This window comes from Homo sapiens, chromosome 6, assembly GCF_000001405.40.
Source record: "Homo sapiens chromosome 6, GRCh38.p14 Primary Assembly".
Taxonomy (NCBI): domain Eukaryota; kingdom Metazoa; phylum Chordata; class Mammalia; order Primates; family Hominidae; genus Homo; species Homo sapiens.
In genome coordinates this window covers 19726900-19747235 of record NC_000006.12, presented here as the reverse complement: position 1 = coordinate 19747235, position 20336 = coordinate 19726900, and the positions used below count along the sequence as shown (strand labels likewise).

At 40.2% G+C, this 20336-nt stretch overlaps 1 long non-coding RNA gene across 1 annotated transcript in view, besides 2 other annotated features; it reads left to right on the top strand.

Annotated features, from left to right (window-relative positions):
• LNC-LBCS (lncRNA bladder and prostate cancer suppressor, hnRNPK interacting) overlaps nt 1–17815 on the top strand; it is a 75339-nt gene extending 57524 nt beyond the window's left edge. The window contains exon 4 of the long non-coding RNA NR_134651.1: nt 16457–17815. This is a non-coding gene — a long non-coding RNA (lncRNA bladder and prostate cancer suppressor, hnRNPK interacting). The remainder of the gene's footprint in view (nt 1–16456) is intronic.
• Nucleotides 12292–12792: an enhancer, noted in NCBI's record as "H3K27ac hESC enhancer chr6:19734675-19735175 (GRCh37/hg19 assembly coordinates)". NCBI's record gives its function as "activates a minimal SCP1, AML or CMV promoter by ChIP-STARR-seq in primed H9 embryonic stem cells {active_cell/tissue: H9 hESC(primed)}" and the evidence as "EXISTENCE:reporter gene assay evidence [ECO:0000049][PMID:30033119]".
• Nucleotides 15548–16747: an enhancer, noted in NCBI's record as "MED14-independent group 3 enhancer chr6:19730720-19731919 (GRCh37/hg19 assembly coordinates)". NCBI's record gives its function as "activates an origin of replication core promoter dependent on BRD2, BRD4, P300/CBP and CDK7 cofactors, and independent of MED14, by STARR-seq in HCT116 cells {active_cell/tissue: HCT116}" and the evidence as "EXISTENCE:reporter gene assay evidence [ECO:0000049][PMID:35650434]".
• Nucleotides 17816–20336: the final 2521 nt, after the last annotated feature.

The window sequence follows — 20336 nt, the reverse complement described above, 5'->3', positions numbered from 1 at the left end:
TAAAAAAGTCTGTTTTGGCCTCTATCCTTCTCAATTTGACATTTGGTTCACTTAAATATCTTCATAAGAGATTTTTATAATATCGAAAACAAGGCAGAAAATGAATATTCATTATGTATCAAGATGGTGTTAGGCACTATGCTATATAATTTCAATTTTCACGTTATCGTCACAACAGTGGTCTGAGATTAGATATAGTTACCTCCATTTACTTTCAGAAGAGAAAAGCAAAGCTCTGTGGGGTTAAATAAATTGTCTATGGCTAGCTACCCTTGGGGAATACTGGAACCAGGGTGCAATACCAGGTGTGTAAACCCCAAGATCCATTAAATCCCATTACACCAACAAAAACACGTTGAGGAAATCACAAGTTCTCAGGATGCCATACTTAATAAAGACATTTTTTTGGCCGGGCGCGGTGGCTCACATCTGTAATCCCAGCTCTTTGGGAGGCCAAGGCAGGCAGTGGATCACCTGAGGTCAGGAGTTTGAAGCCAGCCTGGCCAACATGGTAAAACCCCGTCTCTACCAAACATACAAAAGTTAACTGGACGTGGTGGCACATGCCTGTAATTCCAGCTACTAGGGAGGCTGAGGCTGGAGAATCCCTCAAACCTGAGAGGCAGAGGTTGCAGTGAGCCAAGATTGAGCCACTGCACTCCACCCTGGGCGATAGAGCAAGACCCTATCTCAAAAAAAAAAAAAAGAGGCTTTTTTTTTTTTTTAAAATACTTTAAGTTCTAGGGTACATGTGCACAACGTGCAGGTTTGTTACATAGGTATACATGTGCCATGTTGATTTGCTGCACCCATTAACTCATCATTTACATTAGGTATTTCTCTTAATGCTATCCCTCCCCACTCCCCCCACCCCATGACAGGCCCTGGTGTGTGATGTTCCCTACCCGGTGTCCAAGTGTTCTCATTGTTCAATTCCCACCTATGTGTGAGAACATGCGGTGTTTGGTTTTCTGTCCTTGTGATAGTTTGCTCAGACTGATGATTTCCAGCTTCATCCATGTCCCTACGAAGGACATGAACTCATCCTTTTTTATGGCTGCATAGTATTCCATGGTGTATATGTGCCACATTTTCTTAATCCAGTCTATCATTGATGGACATTTGGGTTGGTTCCAAGTCTTTGCTATTGTGAATAGTGCTGCAATAAACATACATGTTCATGTGTTTGTATAGTAGCATGACTTACAATCCTATGGGTATGTACCCAGTAATGGGATGGCTGGGTCAAATGGTATTTGTAGTTCTAGATCCTTGAGGAATCGCCACACTGTCTTCCACAATGGTTGAACTAGTTTACACTGCCACCAACAGTGTAAAAGCATTCCTATTTGTCCACATCCTCTCCAGTATCTGTTGTTTCCTGACTTTTTAATGTTCACCATTCTAACTGGTGTGAGATGGTATCTCATTGTGGTTTTGATTTGCATTTCTCTGATGACCAGTGATGATGAGCACTTTTCCATGTGTCTGTTGGCTGCATAAATGTCTTCTTTTCAGAAGTGTCTGTTCATATCCTTTGCCCACTTTTTGATGGGGTTGTTTTTTTCTTGTAAATTTGTTTAAGTTCTTTGTGGATTCTGGATATTAGCCCTTTGTCAGACGGGTAGATTGCAAAAATTTTCTCCCATTGTGTAGGTTGCCTGTTCACTCTGATGGTAGTTTCTTTTGCTGTGCAGAAGCTCTTTAGTTTAATTAGATCCCATTTGTCTATTTTGGCTTTTGTTGCCATTGCTTTTGGTGTTTTTGTTATGAAGTCTTTGCCCATGCCTATGTCCTGAATGGTATTGCCTAGGTTTTCTTCTAGGGTTTTTATGGTTTTAGGTCTAACATTTAAGTCTTTAATCCATATCGAATTAATTTTTGTATAAGGTGTAAGGAAGGGATCCAGTTTCAGCTTTCTACATATGGCTAGCCAGTTTCCCCAGCACCATTTATTAAATAGGGAATCCTTTCCCCATTGCTTGTTTTTGTCAGGTTTGTCAAAGATCAGATGGTTGTAGATGTGTGGTGTTATTTCTGAGGCCTCTGTTCTGTTCCATTGGTCTATCTCTCTGTTTTGGTACCAGTACCATGCTGTTTTGGTTACTGTAGCCTTGTAGTATAGTTTGAAGTCAGGTATTGTGATGCCTCCAGCTTTGTTCTTTTGGCTTAGGATTGTCTTGGCAATGCAGGCTCTTTTTTGGTTCCATATGAACTTTAAAGTAGTTTTTTCCATTTCTGTGAAGAAAGTCATTGGTAGCTTGATGGGGATGGCATTGAATCTATAAATTACCTTGGGCAGTATGGCCATTTTCATGATATTGATTCTTTTTATCCATGAGCATGGAATGTTCTTCTGTTTGTTTGTGTCCTCTTTTATTTCATTGAGCAGTGGTTTGTAGTTCTCCTTGAAGAGGTCCTTCACATCCCTTGTAAGTTGGATTCCTAGGTATTTTATTCTCTTTGAAGCAATTGTGAATGGGAGTTCACTCATGATTTGGCTGTCTGTTATTGGTGTATAGGAATGCTTGTGATTTTTGCACATTGATTTTGTATCCTGAGACTTTGCTAAAGTTGCTTATCAGCTTAAGGAGATTTTGGACTAAGACAATGGGGTTTTCTAAATATACAATCATGTCATCTGCAAACAGGGATAATTTGACTTCCTCTTTTCCTAATTGAATACCCTTTATTTCTTTCTCTTGCCTGATTGCCCTGGCCAGAACTTCCAATACTATGTTGAATAGGAGTGGTGAGAGAAGGCATCCCTGTCTTGTGCCAGTTTTTAAAGGGAATGCTTCCAGTTTTTGCCCATTCAGTATGATATTGGCTGTGGGTTTGTCATAAATAGCTCTTATTATTTTGAGATATGTTCCATCAATACCTAATTTATTGAGAGTTTTTAGCATGAAGGGTTGTTGAATTTTGTCAAAGGCCTAAAAAAGGCATTTTTAATGTGCAACATGTTCTTTAATAGAAACAGTAACCTTCAGTTAAATAAAGAAATTGATGTGCCAATAACAGATTAATTTTTCATGCCCATATTGACACTGTTCTGATATTTCATACCCTGCCTACCCACTTTTCTTTGCCCTGCCCAGGCTCCAGGGACCTACCTGACTTCCTATTCATGCTGATCCCACTGAGACCCTTATCAACCCTGACCTGTTCCCCATGTGCCTCTTGGATCTGCCTTATGTTCCAGGTATAGTTCTTTTTTTTTTTTTTTTTGAGATGGAGCCTCGCACTGTCACCTGGGCTGGAGTGCAATGGTGCAATCTCGGCTCACAGCAACCTCCGCCTCCCGGGTTCAAGCGATTATCCTGCCTCAGCCTCCTGAGTAGCTGGGATTACAAGTGCACACCACCATACCTGGCTAATTTTTTTGTATTTTTAATAGAGACAGGGTTTCACTATGTTGGCCAGACTGGTCTCGAACTTCTGACCTCGTGTGCCCGCCTCGGCCTCCCAAAGTGCTGGGATTACATATGTGAGCCACCGCGCCTGGCCTTAAGGTATGGTTCTTTAACACAGAATAGATGCATTCTCTGTAGCTAGGCATGGTGGCCAGCGCCTGTAGTCCCAGCTATTCAAGAGGCTGAAACATGAGAATCCCTTGAACCCAGGAGGTGGAGGTTGTGGTGAGCGGAGATCGCGCCACTGCACTCCAACCTGGGTGACAGCAAGACTCCATCTCAAAAATAAAAGATTTATTCTCTGAAGAAACTGAACAGGAGAGGAGGTTACAGACTCAGAGAAACCAGGCGCCACTGTAGGTGAGGGTGAGGCAGTTGTGTTGAAAATGGACTTGAATGAAAGCCTGCATAATGATGAGTAGGAAACAAGGCACAGGGCGCAGTACTCAGATCGACTCTGTGCTTGACTTAATGCTCTCCTCTGCCATCTTGAAATTCTGAATAATTTTATCTTTGAACTTGTGTTTTATAAGTGAAGTTTGATGGGATGACGAAGCATGAATGTGAGCAGAGGAGATATGCATAATACATGTGTCCACTGTTCCTTGCTGCCCTATTTAAATATAGTGTTTCTGATGTCCCATGAGCACAGAACTTCAGTGGACCCAGGATGTATGGTAGGTTAGCAAGCCTCAAAGTGAGTGCAAAGCAAGATGTTGAGTCTGTGAGTGAGTATGCTGCTGCTGACAGGCCTGAGAAGCCACACTGCCTGTTCCAATAACGATTTTCAAAGGCAGGAACAAGGCAATGCATTCTAAGAATGATGACCTCCGAGGAACCCCATCATGTCCTTTCTACTCCTGTTACTTTCTTGTATTAGCCAAACTACCTACAGTAAAAATGATGACATGGAATGGGACAGGTAGTAAGACTCAGAGTTTCTTTTCTGTCCTAATTTATTCTTCAGTAAGGAATGTAGAGTGTTAGTAGAATATGTATCTATTAAGAAGTGAGATAAAAATAGGCTGGCCACAGTGGCTCACTCCTGTAATCCCAGCATTTTGGGAGGCCAAGGTGGGTGGATCACATGAGGCCGGGAGTTTGAGACCAGCGTGGTCAATATGGTGAAACCCTGTCTGCTAAAAATTACAAAAATTAGCCAGGCATGGTGGCACACACCTGTGCTCGCAGCTACTTGGGAGGCTGAGGCATGAGAATCGCTCGAACCCAGGAGGTGAAGGTTGCAGTGAGCCGAGATCATGCCACTGCACTCCAGCCTGAGCCACAGAGTGAGATTCTGTCTTTAAAAAAAGGAAATGAAAGTAAGATAAAAATGATTGAGTTTTTACTTATTTATTTTTTTTGTGCAGCATTTCCATTTTTCTGGTAAGAATGAAACTTATATTCAAGTACACACTATGAAACACAAATTGTGTAATTTCAGTCGTCCTGTTTAAGTGTTAAATGTGCTTATATTTGCATTTAAAACTGGCATTGCACAACATAAAGATGAACACTGAAAAATTCATGCTAATTATTTAAATTTTTAATCTTTTTAAACTTAGAATAACTTTAAATAGTAAAAACAAAACACTATGACAATTCAAGAAAGAGACTGCAGAAGAAAAGAAAAAGTTTTATATTTTAGTAACATTAGTGCCATTTCCCCTGCTTTTGGAACAAGGGGTCCACATTTCCATTTTGTACTGGGCCTTGCAATGTATGTAGCTGGCCCTGGTAGGATGCCTTGCTTCTCTCTCTTGAGAAGGTCAGGGGCCAGGCTTATACCCCAGTGAGAAAGAGTGGTAGATTCTATTCTGGAGGCATTAAACAGCCCCAGAAAAAACAAAAACAAACAAAAAAAACTTCCATGAACTTAGGAGTTCACCAAGAAGCAGTAGACTTTCCCCATTCAATCTAGAGAGAATCCAGGGCATGTGCCCGCCCATGTGCACGGGATTTCTCATTGGTTTTAGGCCATCACTCTATGAATGTCTTGTAGTTCTCAGATGGCTAATAACTTGCAAATATCAGAGAAAATCTTTCAAATGGAAAGAGAGCCACCAGATAAACATCAAATCCCCAAGGAAAAAAGGGGGCATGAAGAGATTATCTGATATGATACAGCATCTGGAAAAAGACACAGAAATTATCAGAAATTATTGTACAATCAAACATTTGGGAAAATATCAACGACTGGTATACAGAAAACTACCAGCAACTCTAAAAAGGTGAGACAAAAATTGATGGCACAAAAAGAAGATAATCAGAATGCACTACATGCCTTTATATAAACCTTATAATGTGGACATAATATGTTGGTTTAAATAAAGTGGTTATGTAACTGTATTTGGAGGATTGGGTGAAAGAAAGTAGAGAAGGGATAGAGAGGCTAAATCCTCATCTAACCTTTAGAGGAAGTCATTATTAATGTCTAATATTGGTGAATCAACGACTAGTAGTGTAAGCATGTTATTTTGGAACATGGAGATAAATTCCAGGAGAAATAGATAAAGAAGTTAAAAGTGCCTAGGGAGCATGGTTGGAGGATGAGAGGAACTAACAGCAGAAGCAGGGGATAGTTGCTTTTCCTCCTAACTCTTTTACTTCTACTTGATTTGTCAACTCCATACATGTGTTGTACTGATAAACATTTATAGTAAAAGAAAATAAAAAGAAAAACTACTGATTATCTCACAGAATTTCCAGGAAGCCTGGATAACCATGCTTGGTAGTTGGGCAGGAGCAAATGAAGTGTCCTGATGAGGACAATACTGCTACCCTAGCTGGCACTGCCTGTGCCACTGCAGTGGTCACTGGATGTTAATGGCGGCGCACATTCTCCACCATCTCTGTGTCTTTTCATCATGGCCACCAGGTTAAATGTCTTGGGTGGTAGCATCTGATTGGCTGAGGTTAGGTCATATGTCCATGAACCTTGGCCAGTTTGGCAGAGGTCACAGAAAAGTGGCCTTTTAGGCTTCTAAAGGGGAGATGAGCTCTGCCTTCTGTAAAAATTCATATAGTAGAAGCTGCCTTGATTTTAGGAAGGGGATTCAGACACTGGGCAGCTGAAAATAACATCAAATGCACACTAGGGTCACTTTCTGGTGAAAGTGCAGATCACTTGTGAAAATTTGATTTTTTTCTCTTCTGTCAGGCACTTTTTGGGGGAATTTAAAGCTTTTGAGGACTGGAATATAGCAGAGGGTACATGATTCTCTCTCTCTCTCTCTCTTTCTTTCTCTCTCCATCTATTACCTTTCTATCCAATCTGTTTAACATTAAGTCCAAGGAGTGTAATTAATAAAACAATGATATGACACAGCAGATACTCTGGAAAAGGGTGTGTGTGTGTCCAATGTAGTGATCAGAAACACAACTTCCCAAGGAAACCAGAAACTCTCTACAAAGCAAAAATTCACCAGCAAGCAAGCCAGCAAGCAAGCAAGCAAGCAAGCAGACCACAGTACCCACAGGAGAAAAGGATATAATTCTCCCCTCCCAGAAAAATGCCCTGTTCTGTTTTCCCCTTCATTAAGACTCTGACGAGTGAACAGCACCCTTCTGAATAATTTCAGGAACTAACGTTCACTACAGAGAACTTCAGGTTGCATCAGGGAACATATATACACAGCAGTCAACTCAAGAAGATCTGTCATTTCTTCAACCAGCACACAGTTGGGGGCTTCATGAAAAAGGACAATTTTAACTTTTATATGCTTTTCATTGATTTGGTGTATTAAACATGATTTCCTATTTACTTTTATTCTGGTGATTTGGGGCTTTCAATTAGAGACTAGGCAAGCTGACAGACACATTTGTTGCATATTTTATGTATTCCCAAAAGGTTTGCCATTGTGAAGAGCCAGGTTTTGGGGAGCAAAGAAATAAACATGCTAGTGAAGTCAGCTTTCCACAAAAACAACCTGAGGGACGTGCTTCAGTGGCTAGCCCTGATTGTTTGAGACAATGAATGGGTATTACATATTCTTAAGTATTTACAGCATATATGTATATATGCAAATGCACACAGGCAATATTTTGAATTTGAGCAGGTAAAAAATTTTCATCTCTCTAGCTCTTACTGATTCTCTAAGCTGCTACATTTGTTTTGCTGTAGAATTTTCAATAAACACGTCAGAGAATACTCTTCCACCTGGATTCAAAGTAATTTGCATTTCCTCTAGTGTGAAACCAATTCACCGCAGGTATAGGCCTAAGAAATTATAAATATCAGATATAATTTTTGTAATTGCACTTCTTGTCTGAAAGTGGTATTCACAGAAAATGTAACTTTAGGTGAGCACAGCAAGAGTGTGTGTTTGCCAGCAAAAGAAACTTATCATCAGAGTGAACGGGCAACCTACAGAATGGGAGAAAATTTTTGCAATCTATCCATCTGACAAAGGGCTAATATCCCGAATCTACAAAGAACTTAAACAAATTTACAAGAAAATAACAACCGCATCAAAAAGTGGGCGAAGTATATGAAAAGACACTTTTCAAAAGAAGACATTTATGCGGCCAACAAACATGAAAAAAAGCTCATCATCACTGGTCATTAGAGAAATGCAAATCAAAAACCACAATGAGATACCATCTCATGCCAGTTAGAATGGCCATCATTAAAAAGTCAGGAAACAACAGATACTGGAGAGGATGTGTAGAAATAGGAATGCTTTTACACTGTTGGTGGGAGTGTAAATTAGTTCAACCATTGTGGAAGACAGTGTGGTGATTCCTCAAGGATCTAGAACCAGAAATATCATTTGACCCAATAATCCCATTACTGAGTATATACCCAAAGGATTATAAATCATTCTACTATAAAGACACATGCACATGTATGTTTATTGCAGCACTATTCACAATAGCAAAGACTTGGAACCAACCCAAATGCCCATCAATGTTAGACTGGATAAAGAAAATGTGGTACATATACACATGGAATACTATGCAGCCATAAAAAAGAATGAGTTCATGTCCTTTGCAGAGACATGGATGAAGCTGGAAATCATCATTCTCAGCAAACTAACCAGGAACAGAAAACCAAACACCGCATGTTCTCACTCATAAGTGGGAGTTGAACAATGAGAACATATGGGCACAGGGAGGGGAACAGCACACACCGGGGCCTGTCAGGGGTTGGGGGCAAGGGGAGGGATAGCATTAGGAGAAATACCTAATGTAGATGATGAGTTGATGGGTGCAGCAAACCACCATGGCACGTGTATACCTATGTAACAAACCTGCACATTCTGCACATGCATCCCAGAACTTAAAGTATAATAAAAAAAGAGTGTGTCTTTGCATGAGGAACAACACCATTGCAGTATTTGAAGATGGTGAACTCTGATCAGGTTAAAAAATCAGCCTAATCTCTACATTTAATGAAGTTGATGAAGAGAAAAAGTCATTAATTCAATTTTTTAAAGAAATATTTTCATGCTGGTCAGAGAGGAAAAGAAGACATAAACAGGTGGCCATGATATTTGGGAAAAAGAAGCACTGATTTTAAACTGCAATTTGGAATGAAGAGCAGAATGTTGATACTAGCAGCGTCTGGCAGGCAGCTTAGTGGCATATTTAGCCTTTCTAGAATCAGGCTTCATACCAACCTGCTGAGGTTTATTTCCATAATTGAAAATCTGATGGAGATGTGGGAAGTAGTATGTACATGGTTATAACCCTAAGCTGGCCCCAGACAGTTCTTGACCATCCACTACATTAGAGTCCTGTACTGTCTTCAGGTGGTTTGGGGCTGAAGTAGAGGTTCATGTATGGGAAGAAAGACAGGAAGATGCATGATTAATTTGAAAGAAGTAAGAGGTACTTCTTACCTATAAACAATTTAAATAGAAGCTTACTGGGAAGGAAAGCTCCTAATAAATCAAGTAATCCTATTGGCTCTACTGCTACTTGAATCTTAATCTGCTTACGTTATGTACTTTGGTCTAAATTCTATTCCATGGGTCTATACAGAAAAATCTAATCTTTCCTCCCCATGACAGACCTATACACTTTTTTTTTTTTTTTTTTTTAGAGACAGGGTCTTGCTCTGTCCCTCAAACTGGCGTGCAGCCCATACACTTTTGAAGACAGACAACTATGTTGTGTTCTGCAATCATTTGTTTTGAAGAGTAGGCTGGGCACGGTGGTTCACACCTGTAATCCCAGCACTTTGGGAGGCCAAGGCCAGTGGATCACCTGAGGTCAGGAGTTCGAGACCAGCCTGGCCAACATGGTGAAAACCCCACCTCTACTAAAAATACAGAAATTAGCTGGGCATGGTAGGGGGTGCCTGTAATCCCAGCTACTCAGGAGGCTGAGGCAGGAGAATCACTTGAACCCAGGAGGCGGAGGTTGCACGTGAGCCAAGATCACACCATTGCACTCCAGCCTGGGCCACAAGAGCGAAACTCTGTCGTAAAAAAACAAACAAACAAAAAAACAGTATATATCCTCATTTCCTTCCTCATGATGGAATTTTCATGTTTCATCAGCCTGTTAGTCTTCTCTGAATGTATTCATGTATCAAATATTTATTATATATTAACTGTATCCCAGGCATGCCTAGAGCTACAGTACAGAAATAAGTAAGATATATTCCCTTCTATAAAAGAATTTTGGGGCTAGTAAGTGAGACAAATAAAAAAAGTATATACCATGATGAAGTGCTATAATAGAGCTATGCCTAGAGTATTATGAGAGGGTCACTTGTCTTTGTTGGGCAGAAATAAGCAAAAGTTTCAGGTAGGGTTTGACTGGCACAGAGCACAGAGGATCTCCTATACTGTAGAATTTAAAAAATCTCATCTGTAACTATACCTATGTGCCCCTTTTTATACCTGATGTTATTTATGACTTTGATGTCTTTTTTATATCATATTTCTCAAAACTGCCTATTTTATTGCTTCTTTTTAATTAATATCCATTTTTATTCTTAGTTTCCTTCTACTTTTAAAAAATTTTACTTTTTTTTCTAGATTTTTGAGTATTAATCTTCATTCTTCTTGATCTCTAGTAGATTCTTTTGAGTCTATGTATTTCCTCTGGGTACTGCTGTGGCCACACTCCAGAGGATTGGGTGTATGACGTTACGTGGCTGCTTAATTATAAAGAATTTGTAAAGTTAGGTTTGAGTAGCTCCAGGATTCTCCGAATGACTCTCCTTGGATCCTGTGATGCAATATACCCTTCACCAGATCCCAATGTTCCTGCTAAGGTTCCTGCTAAGAGGACACATGGGGTAATCACCCCTGCAGAGGGTTCTCCTCCTTTCAGCATCCCCTTGACCTCAACAGCCATTTTCAAAGGAGCGGCACCATCCTCTTTAATTAGGGCCAGCAATGAGGGGAGCTGGCAAATGGGTATGTTTTTCTTAGCTATGTTGCCAACATGAGAAATTTCAGTTGTGGAGAAAGACCCCCTTGCCAGCACAACTAGTTAAGACAAGAATATGATTGCATCTAGATTTCATCAGAATACGATGAGGTGCATCATTAAGCCAGGCAGAGGGAGGCGGACTTGCGTAAATCTACTCTCCTACTCATTCAAAGCAGTAAATTGCAGAGTGTGCACAGGTGATCCCCATAAAGCTATGTTTCAGGCGGATGCCTGCTGGGCTGGCACTTAAGCAAATCCCTTAACCCATTTGTTACTCTGTCTCTGTTTCCTTTCCTTCTTAAAAGCACTTTCTTTTATCAACCTTCCTTCAGGGGATAGTGGTTTCAGGCTCTCCTTATCCTCTCCTCTGTGAAAATTTACCCTTAAGAAAAGATCTAGAGACTTCAACATATATAAATGACTGATAATATAGTGCCTCACCCAGGCCAACACTCATTTTAAAGGGAACACAAAGCCTGCATTGAAGGAAATCAGTGTGTATGTCTAGAATTTTCATCAGTAGTAGTATGAAGGGCTATTTGGGGGCAGTAGGAGATGCGGACTCCAGTACTGATCGATGGGGGCTTGGCTAGTACCTGAAATGATTGACGAGGGCTGCATGTATGCAGAGCTGGAGTTCTCAACCTGGGGAAATTTGTCTCCAACTCCCAAAAAGAGAACATTTGGCAATGCCTGGAGATATTTTGGAACAACTAGGGGTGGGGGGTGCTACTGGTATCTAGTGGGCAGAGACCAGGAATGCTGCTAAACATCCTGCAATGTACAGGACAGTCCCCCACAGCAAAGAATAGGCCGGCCCCAAATGCCAACGGTGCTGAGGCTGAGAGACCCTGGTGTAGAATGATAGATATTTGACAAACAACACTGGCCCCCATGTTGGAAAGACAGCAGGGAGAGCTTTTGTGGGCCAGCTGGAGACCACCTTCTCTGATTCGAGGCACTCTCACTGCCCAGGACATAGAGGGATTATCCCACGGTGTAGTACAGCCAGATCTTCTGACTTCTTTGGAGAATTCAAAAATCCAGATTTTTATGTGACATCTCTAGATGTTAAAACACCAGCAATGAATCCAAATGAACAAAGTTGAGAGAGCCACACACACTTGGCCAAGGGCTGGACTTAGCTTGCTGGCAGCTGACATGACAAGTTGTGACCAGATCGTCCTGGCCCATCAAGGTGACTGTGGGTTATAAATCCAGGGCTACAAGCTACCAAGGCAAGGTTCTGGTGGTCAGTCTTTCTGTCTGCAAAGACCAGGACTGTCCCACTGAGGCACAAGCCAAGGAGAGGTCTGTTTTAGCTGTGTGGAAAATAAAAAGTATAGATTGCTCTTAAAACTGTGCTAGCACTATTTAACAGAGTTTACCAATGCAATTTTAGCTTTTCCTCTTGTAAAAATTTCTTTCTTGGGCTCAATAGGCACATTTCAGATTCTGGAGTTTTCTCTTACTAATTCCAGTATCTACCAGACAGGGTTGGTTGTTGAAGAGATCAAATAAGATAATATATGTGAAAGTTCATAGTGTAGAGTTGTCTGCTGTGAAAAGAAGTGTTAGTTGACTCTGAATACAAAGATAAAACTCCACTCTCTGAATGGGACCGTAGGCATTTTCTTGAACTGGATAGACTCAGTGGCCGGCTCCTGGGATAATGAGCTGAGTTCACTTGCTTGAATTTGGAGGGTAAACACATGTTCTTTGTGTCTGGGAGGTATGCTTGGGATTTCCTTTGTCTCTCCCTGCTTTGGGGAAAAGCAAATTTGGCATGGCCTTTGAATGCTTGCCTCCCCCACACTTTTTTTTTTTTTTTTCAGTATGGAAGCTTTGTAAATTTTCCTTGTTAAAAACAAGCACCATCTTCATACCTGCTGAAATCTAATTCTCATCCAGAGGGATGTGAGGAATAAAGGGGGCAGTGATACCAACAGCGGGCGTAGACAGCCCATCCATCCCACGCAGGTACGCTGGCGTGGCTACATCGACCCGGGAGGGAGGCCGTTTGTAAAGAACCCTTTTTATTGTGACTCTCGCCTCCCTCAGCTCATCCCGAGCCATGAGAAGAGCGTTGTCAATGAGACAGGCCAATTTTACCCATCTTACACAATAGTGCATTACAGACTTTCCAAGAAGACACCATTCAGGGTGAATCACCAAATTCAGGATGAAAAGGTTTTGATTTGCAAAAGCGCTCAAGCATTTCTCTTTAGAGCTGGAGATGGCAGGGAAGGAACCGACGTGCATGCAGCTGCATCACCTTTGGGCCAGGTGTGCTGGCAAGCTCTCCACGCTAGAGCAGGGCAAAGGCACCTAGCATTCACAGGCGCCTTTGTCCCACCGTGGGTGCTGGGACTCGTGAATGCCCTATTGAAGGCAGAAAAGAATAAGAAGGTGCCAGTGATGGTGGGGTATTGAAGTGAGAGGAATCGAGTCAAAGCATGAACTGCATGCAGGTTAACAGCAACTGAAATTAATGTTAAAATTTTTAGGTCCTTAAATAGATTCATCAACACAGGTAGGAGATGATGAGAGAAAATACTAGATTAAGAGAGTTGTGTCATTTAGGATGATTTCAGCTACTAGTCACTGAATATCTATCTAAAGTGAATTAAACCCTTCTTACTCAGAGTTCAGGCTCAGAACTGGCAGTGTCACCTTCACCTGGGAGCTTGTCAGAACTGCAGAATCCCTAGACCCAGCCCAGGGCCTCCTATAATACATCAGAATCTGCATTTTAATCAGACACACAAGTTATTTGAAGTCACATTACCATTTGAGAAACAACCATGAAAAAGGACTATTTTAAATCTCAGATAACAAGTAGACAAGTTAACTAATCAGAGTCAGTTAACTCAGCAACTCAACAATGTCAAGAAGGGCCTGGGTGTTTTCCATTTTTCTGCTTTGCTGTGTTTGATGTCTTTACTTCCATATTCAGGTTTATGGTCCTGTGATCACAAGATGGCTGCAGAAGCTCTGAGCATCACCTCATATAGCTCAACAAAGGGGTAGGAAAAAGGAGCTTCCTCTCAAATATGCATTTTTAACAGCAAACCAATCCTAAACCAGCCATTGGCAAGGGGATTAAAATAATGCTGATTTGCTAAGGCCAACAAACCTTTAACCCCTGGGACCAGGTGGGGCTTGGCCTCCTTTGAAGCTCGTGGCAATTAAATATATGAACAAAATGGACTTCTGTAACTTGAAAGAAATAGGAATGAGGAGGGAAGTTAGCTGGTAGGAAAAGCAGCACTGTGTGGTGCAGGAATTTTTTTGAGGCTGGTTTCATATATTTTGGGACATCAGGAGTTTCCTCTAGAATATTTGTTAGAGAGTTAACAAAGATATCAGCTTTTGATTTGATTCTATGATGACTGACCCTAGGGCTATTATCCTAGGACATACATAGATGGGTAGTTTGTGTTACAGGAAATTCTTTTTTTTTTTTTTTGTAGACGGAGTTTCACTCTTGTCGTCTAGGCTGGAGTGCAGTGGCGTGATCTCGGCTGACTGCAACCTCTGCCTCCTGGGTTCAAGTGATTCTCTTGCCTCAGCCTCCCGAGTAGCTGGGATTACAGGCACCTGCCCCCACGCCCAGCTAATTTTCGTCTTTTTAGTAGAGATGGGGTTTCACCATGTTGGCCAGGCTGGTCTCCAACTCCTGACCTCAGGTGATCCACCTGCCTGGGCCTCCCAAAGTGCTGGGATTACAGGCTGGAGCCACTGCGCCCAGCCTGGAAATTCTTAATGATAGAATAATGCAGTTACATAATGTTCGAATGAGAAGGCTAGAAGGGACTTTTTACACTACTTAGAATGGTGCCCTTATTCTGTAGATGAGGGAGAAGTCCAGGTGATTTATGCACTGGTTAGCTGTGTTGGGATTGGAATGTATTGCCCTTTCATATGCTACCATCTTGATGGGAGGTAGTTCAACCTTTTCAATTTGAAATCTGTATTTCGAAGACCTACATAATGTTACCTCTCTGGGAAACATGAATAATTATGTAGAGCAAATCACACACAGGTCATTTTAAGGCCATCTAAGAGAAATAGGATTCTGTTAAACAGGTCATAGGATCCCAGATGCCCCTGAATCATGAGACCTAGAAAGCTAGAGAGTAAGGCTATGCTTGACGCAGTCTGTAGGCACTTGGCAAGTGTTTGCAGAGTAATTACTGGACTGGATAAATAAATTAAGTATAAATACGTCTTTTTCAAAAGAGAATTCTCATGCGACTCACCTTCACTGTTGACATTCCTATATGGTGTATGTTGTTTTTAATTGAATTATTCTGAATAAGTGGGGTAGGACCAATGGATTCCAGAGTATGTATTTTCTCTTTCATACTCTTATTTCTAAGGGTCTAAAAGAAGAAAAACAAATACAATGTTAGACTGCATTAAAGAATGTACAATAGTCCCCCCACCCCTTATCCACAGGGGATATACTTCGAGACCCTCAGTGGATGCCTGAAACTGCAGATAGCACCGAACCCGATGGCCATCAATCGGAACGTGTTTCTGTTCATGTCTTCCACCCACACATTTAATGCCTTTTCATCTTAATTAAGCTCTTATGCACTGTGGCCATAACTTTCGCAGTTTGAGGTGCAACCACAGAACTAGTATAAAGTTCTTTTTCCTTCTTCACAATTTCATGGATAAACGATTTTTATCGTAGACTTTAGCAACCTCAGTATATATATTTTTTCTTATTAAGTTGAGAACTTTCATCTTTTCACTTAAAGGATGCACTTTACTTTTCTTTGGCATAGCCAGATTGCCAGCATCACTACTCTCATACTTTGGGGCCATTACTAAGTAAAATGTGGGTTAGTTGAACACAAGCACTGTGAAATGGCGACAGCCGATCTGCTCATCGAGATGGTTTCTATGTGATTCATGGGCAGGGAGTGCATACAGTGTGGATATGCTGGACAAAGAGATGATTCACGTCCCAAGCAGGATGGAGCAGGATGGTGTAAGATTTCATCACACTACTCAGAACGGTGTGCAATTTAACACTTATGAATTTTTTATTTCTGGAATTTTCCATTTAATATTTCCAGATGACAGTTGGGCCAGGGTAACTGAAACTGCAGAAGGCAAAACCATGGATGGTGCAGGGGGCTGTGGGGGTGGTGGGGGACTGTGGGGGGAGTGGCAGGACTACTGTATCATGTTTAGGGTCAAGGGAGACAGTCTTCACGGTACCCTTTGGGCTGATTCTGACTACTTTAGAATTGTTTTTTTATCAGTTTCTAGCAATATAATTTAAGGAGGACATTGATTAAGTGTTCACTGATGACAATGATGATAAAAATATTAGAGCCAAATATCAGCCACTTTAAATTTTTTTCATTAAATCTTACAAAACCCTTGTGAGATAGACATCTCAAAGATAAAAAAAAAAACAGAAGCTCAGATAAATGTATTAACCTAAGGACAGCTACTAAACAGTGGAGCTGAGATTTGAACTCAGGGCTGTCTGACACCTAAACACCATCAAAGCAGCTAATGTAGTTAAGCATTAGTTAAATTCTAGGCATTGTTCTAAGTGCATTATTTCATTAACCCTAACAAAAATCCTTTTTCTGAGGATTGGAAATACCTGTTATTTCCTTTTACAGGTAATGAAGCTGATGCTTAGAGAGGTTGAGTAATCCACCCATGTCTCTCTGACCCAGGTCTGACCACCATACTATTGCCTGCAGATGAAGAGGAGCAACATATTGTATCCTGTGTTGCTCAAGAGAGCAGAATTAGGACTTAGAATAGCCTTCTAAGAATTGCTCTGTGCCACCAAATGGGTGGCAGACTTCTAGACAAGTTTTCTAAACTTGTCAGCCTCAACTACAAGTGAGCTGGTGAGAGAAAACAAACATCACTATCCAGGGGCTTTTGCTGGACTTACTGAATGTAACAGAGATCGGATTGGATTGTCTCTAATGTCTGTTTCACGAATAGAGTTCTGTAAATAGTCTGTCTTTTCTGAAGCCATTGTATTTTCAGTATTAGGTCATTTAGTTGACTGAAAGTGTGTATTCTGTAAAGAGAGAAAGGGATGGGGAGAGAAAGGAGACTGTTACTTTTATTTTCATGTCCTTTGCTCTCCCACATGCATACTCCACCTCTAGCTCTTACACTCAAACATCTACACTTGCAGCTTACTGTAGATGCCACTGTCCTTTTCCACATTTGCACAAGTAGATTTCTCACTCCCAACCCTTATTTTGAAAATAAGGTGTTTCTACATCTTTCATTTTATTTTTAAAAATAAAAGTTGGACCACAGTTTAGATATATTAATCACTTTTCCCAGAACTCATGTTTGGTCATCTAAAAGCCTGTGTCTAAAAGTTGTGAGGAATAGTTGAAGCTTTCATCAATGTAAAGGTTGGGTAATACTCTACTGCCAAAAGTAGTTAATTAATTTCTGCAGAGTTAAGGTAGTAGAAATGGGAGCTCTCATCTGTTTTGAGAAATGTGTACAAAATTAATGTTTTCCCAGAGAAGCATTTTCCAATGTCTCCATCTAATTTGGCTCCATTCTGAAGAGAAGCACAATGATGCTTCAGCAACTTGAAATTTTACTAAGTGAACTAACTAATCCTGCCTTTGAAACAGTGGACTGGGGCTCAAAAGACAAGCTTCTTAGACTAATACTGGGCACTTTCTCTTTTCTCACTCTCTCTTTATTCCCTTTTCTTTCTCCTTCTCTTGTTCCATCTTTTCACTTTGGAAACTATTAGGTTTCAAAAATGCATCTGTAGCTGTTTATTTTACATGTGCCTGATTTTATGAGTTTATGGGCTCCTGAAAATTAAATTAATTTTAAATGAGCTTTAATTACTAATGCTTTGGGCCATTGCCTTTAACAAAGTCAACATAACAATCAGGGTTACCTTAGTTTGTCTCTTTGAAGAATGTAGTCATTCATTTGGGCTCTTATTGAGCAGAGCAGCTTTCTAACTGGAAAAACAAATAAATAAAATAAAACCACTGCTATATTTGAATGCCTGAATTTATTTCTTTTCCAGAAATAGCCACCTTTGATTTAAGAAACAGGATTTTAAGTGTGCATTAAAGGATTCATTTTGTTAATAATATCTTGTTATTTTTCAGAAGAGGAGAGGATCCTATTCATAATATTATGCTATGCAAATACAGAGGCAGAGGTTGAATCATGACCTGAAGGTCTGAATTCTGTTCTTAGCTTGGTGCAGAGTGCTTTGTATGTAACATTAGTGAAATCGGCTTACTTCTCAATACAGTGCCCCCTTGCAAATTAAGGGTAATCAACTCCTAGTTCAAAAGTGAAGGGATAATGAGATAATGTTCAAAATGGCTTTTAAGTTTCTACCTATAGAGGCTGAAGGTGAAAAAAAGAACATTGCAATGTCTGTGGATATCCCCCCTCCCAGGAGGGAAGGCTACTCATGTTGTTCCCCATGGAATGTTCTCTTCAATCAGGGGCCATCACTTGAGTGGTTTGATAATAATAAGCTTAGATTGACTGCAGATAAAAATGGGAAAGGTTGATTAAGTCATTTAGTCCCTTGGCAATTTTGCAAACCAAGTGATTCTTATAAGCATCAGTTTTAAACTGTGCAATACAGGGACCCGACAAATAACCAAAGTTCTTGATTCCACATATTGCAGGATTTCAGCTATTTCTCCCCAAAATTAATATCAAATTTCCATTATCTAAATATACCCTGTTGTTATCCGTGATTCCCAAGTGGTTTCTACCTCTTTTATCTCTCTCAGTTGAAAATGTGCTAAAATACCCAAGTAATGAAAACACCCATGGTTGCCAGTTGGTTAATTCTTTTAATCAGTTAAACTGATGGTATATAGTATCACAGAAATACAAATCTTTCTAGGCAGAATATTACATCTACACTCCCGTCTTCACTTCATGTCCAGGCATATTAGACTAGAAGATAATTAGTATAGAAGACATATTAGTATAGAAAAGAAAAACAGTGATTTAAAATAAAAAACTTCAACTATAAACATTCTAAGACAAGTTCAGAAAGAAAAAAGTAATTATTTTCTTCTAGATTCTCTCTCAAATTTACTTCACACTTATATTTAAAGCGGCTCCCAATGATAATGTTTCAGTCACACCGTATTTCTAAATGTGCAAAGCCAAGTAATGTACAAGTCATTATTTATTAATAAGAATAACATGTTGCATTTGTCTAATACCTTACAGTTTCCAAAATGCTTAAACTTACTCTTTTTTTTTTACGATATCTGCTTATTTTTTCTCAAAAGATTTTTAAAGTAAGTTATCTATGTAATTGCCTCACCTATAGTGGAAGTCATCTCTTATTTATTTATTACTTATTGAGTTCATGACTATTGAAAATTTTAAAAGTAGACGATGTCTAAGAATACCTCAGAAGCTGATTCCATGTTATGTATAAATATTGCCATAAGCAGACACATGTATACATGCACACACACTTACATACACTCAGCTTCTTCTTTGTCTTGGCTGGTATTCCTAGAAAGAAATTACTTTTCTTTCAAATTCCCCTTGATAACTCACGTTATATGTGATTTCTTTCAGCAGTTTGCTTACCATTGAGGACTTTTCTATAAAGGCAAAGAACCTGGCTAGAAGAAAATTGAGTTATAGGAAGGAAAAAAAAAATACTTTGAAGAAGAAAACTTAGTTGGGTACAAGAGGGAAAAGCTAATGGCATCTTTTTTTTTTTTTTTCTTGAGACGGAGTCTCACTTTGTTGCCAGGCTGGAGTGCTATGTGGTGTGATCTCAGCTCACTGCAACCTCCATTTCCTGGGTTCAAGCGATTCTCCTGGCTCAGCCACCTGAGTATCTGGGATTACAGGTGGCTGCCACCACAACTGGCTAATTTTTGTATTTTTATAGTAGAGGTGGGGTTTCACCATGTTGGCCAGGCTGGTCTCAAACTCCTGACCTCAGGTGATCCACCCGCCTCGGCCTCCCTAAGTGCTGAAGGATTCCAGGCTTGAGCCACTGTACCCGGCCCATCTTTTTAAAGTTATATGGCCACTTCCAAAAACTGTGCTTTCCTCTGTTACATGTAATTTAAGTTCCATGTGGATTCTTAACACTTTAAAATAAAACTATATTTTCTTGTTCTGAATAATGTTATATAGAGATCACCATTTTAAAAAATAAACAATGCCTGATAATTGGTTTTGTGAAGTAAGCAGGAGCAGTGAAATCGACCATAGGGGAACGTCAGAAAGGATGCAAGCGGGGGGCGGGGCGGGGGGAGCTTTACACAGTGAAATAAAGGTGTTTGATTGGGACACAGACATGAGCACCATTTAGACAGTATGCTTGTGATACTAAATCACCAAACTTTATTGATGAAGGGGCATCAAGTTCATCTTTAATTTTTTGCCCACACATCTTAGATAATTGTATACACAAAAGGGGTGTCCAGTAAAGATTTCTTCACCAGCATATTTTATCATTGTTGCACCCCTCACTCCTCATTCCAGCCACAC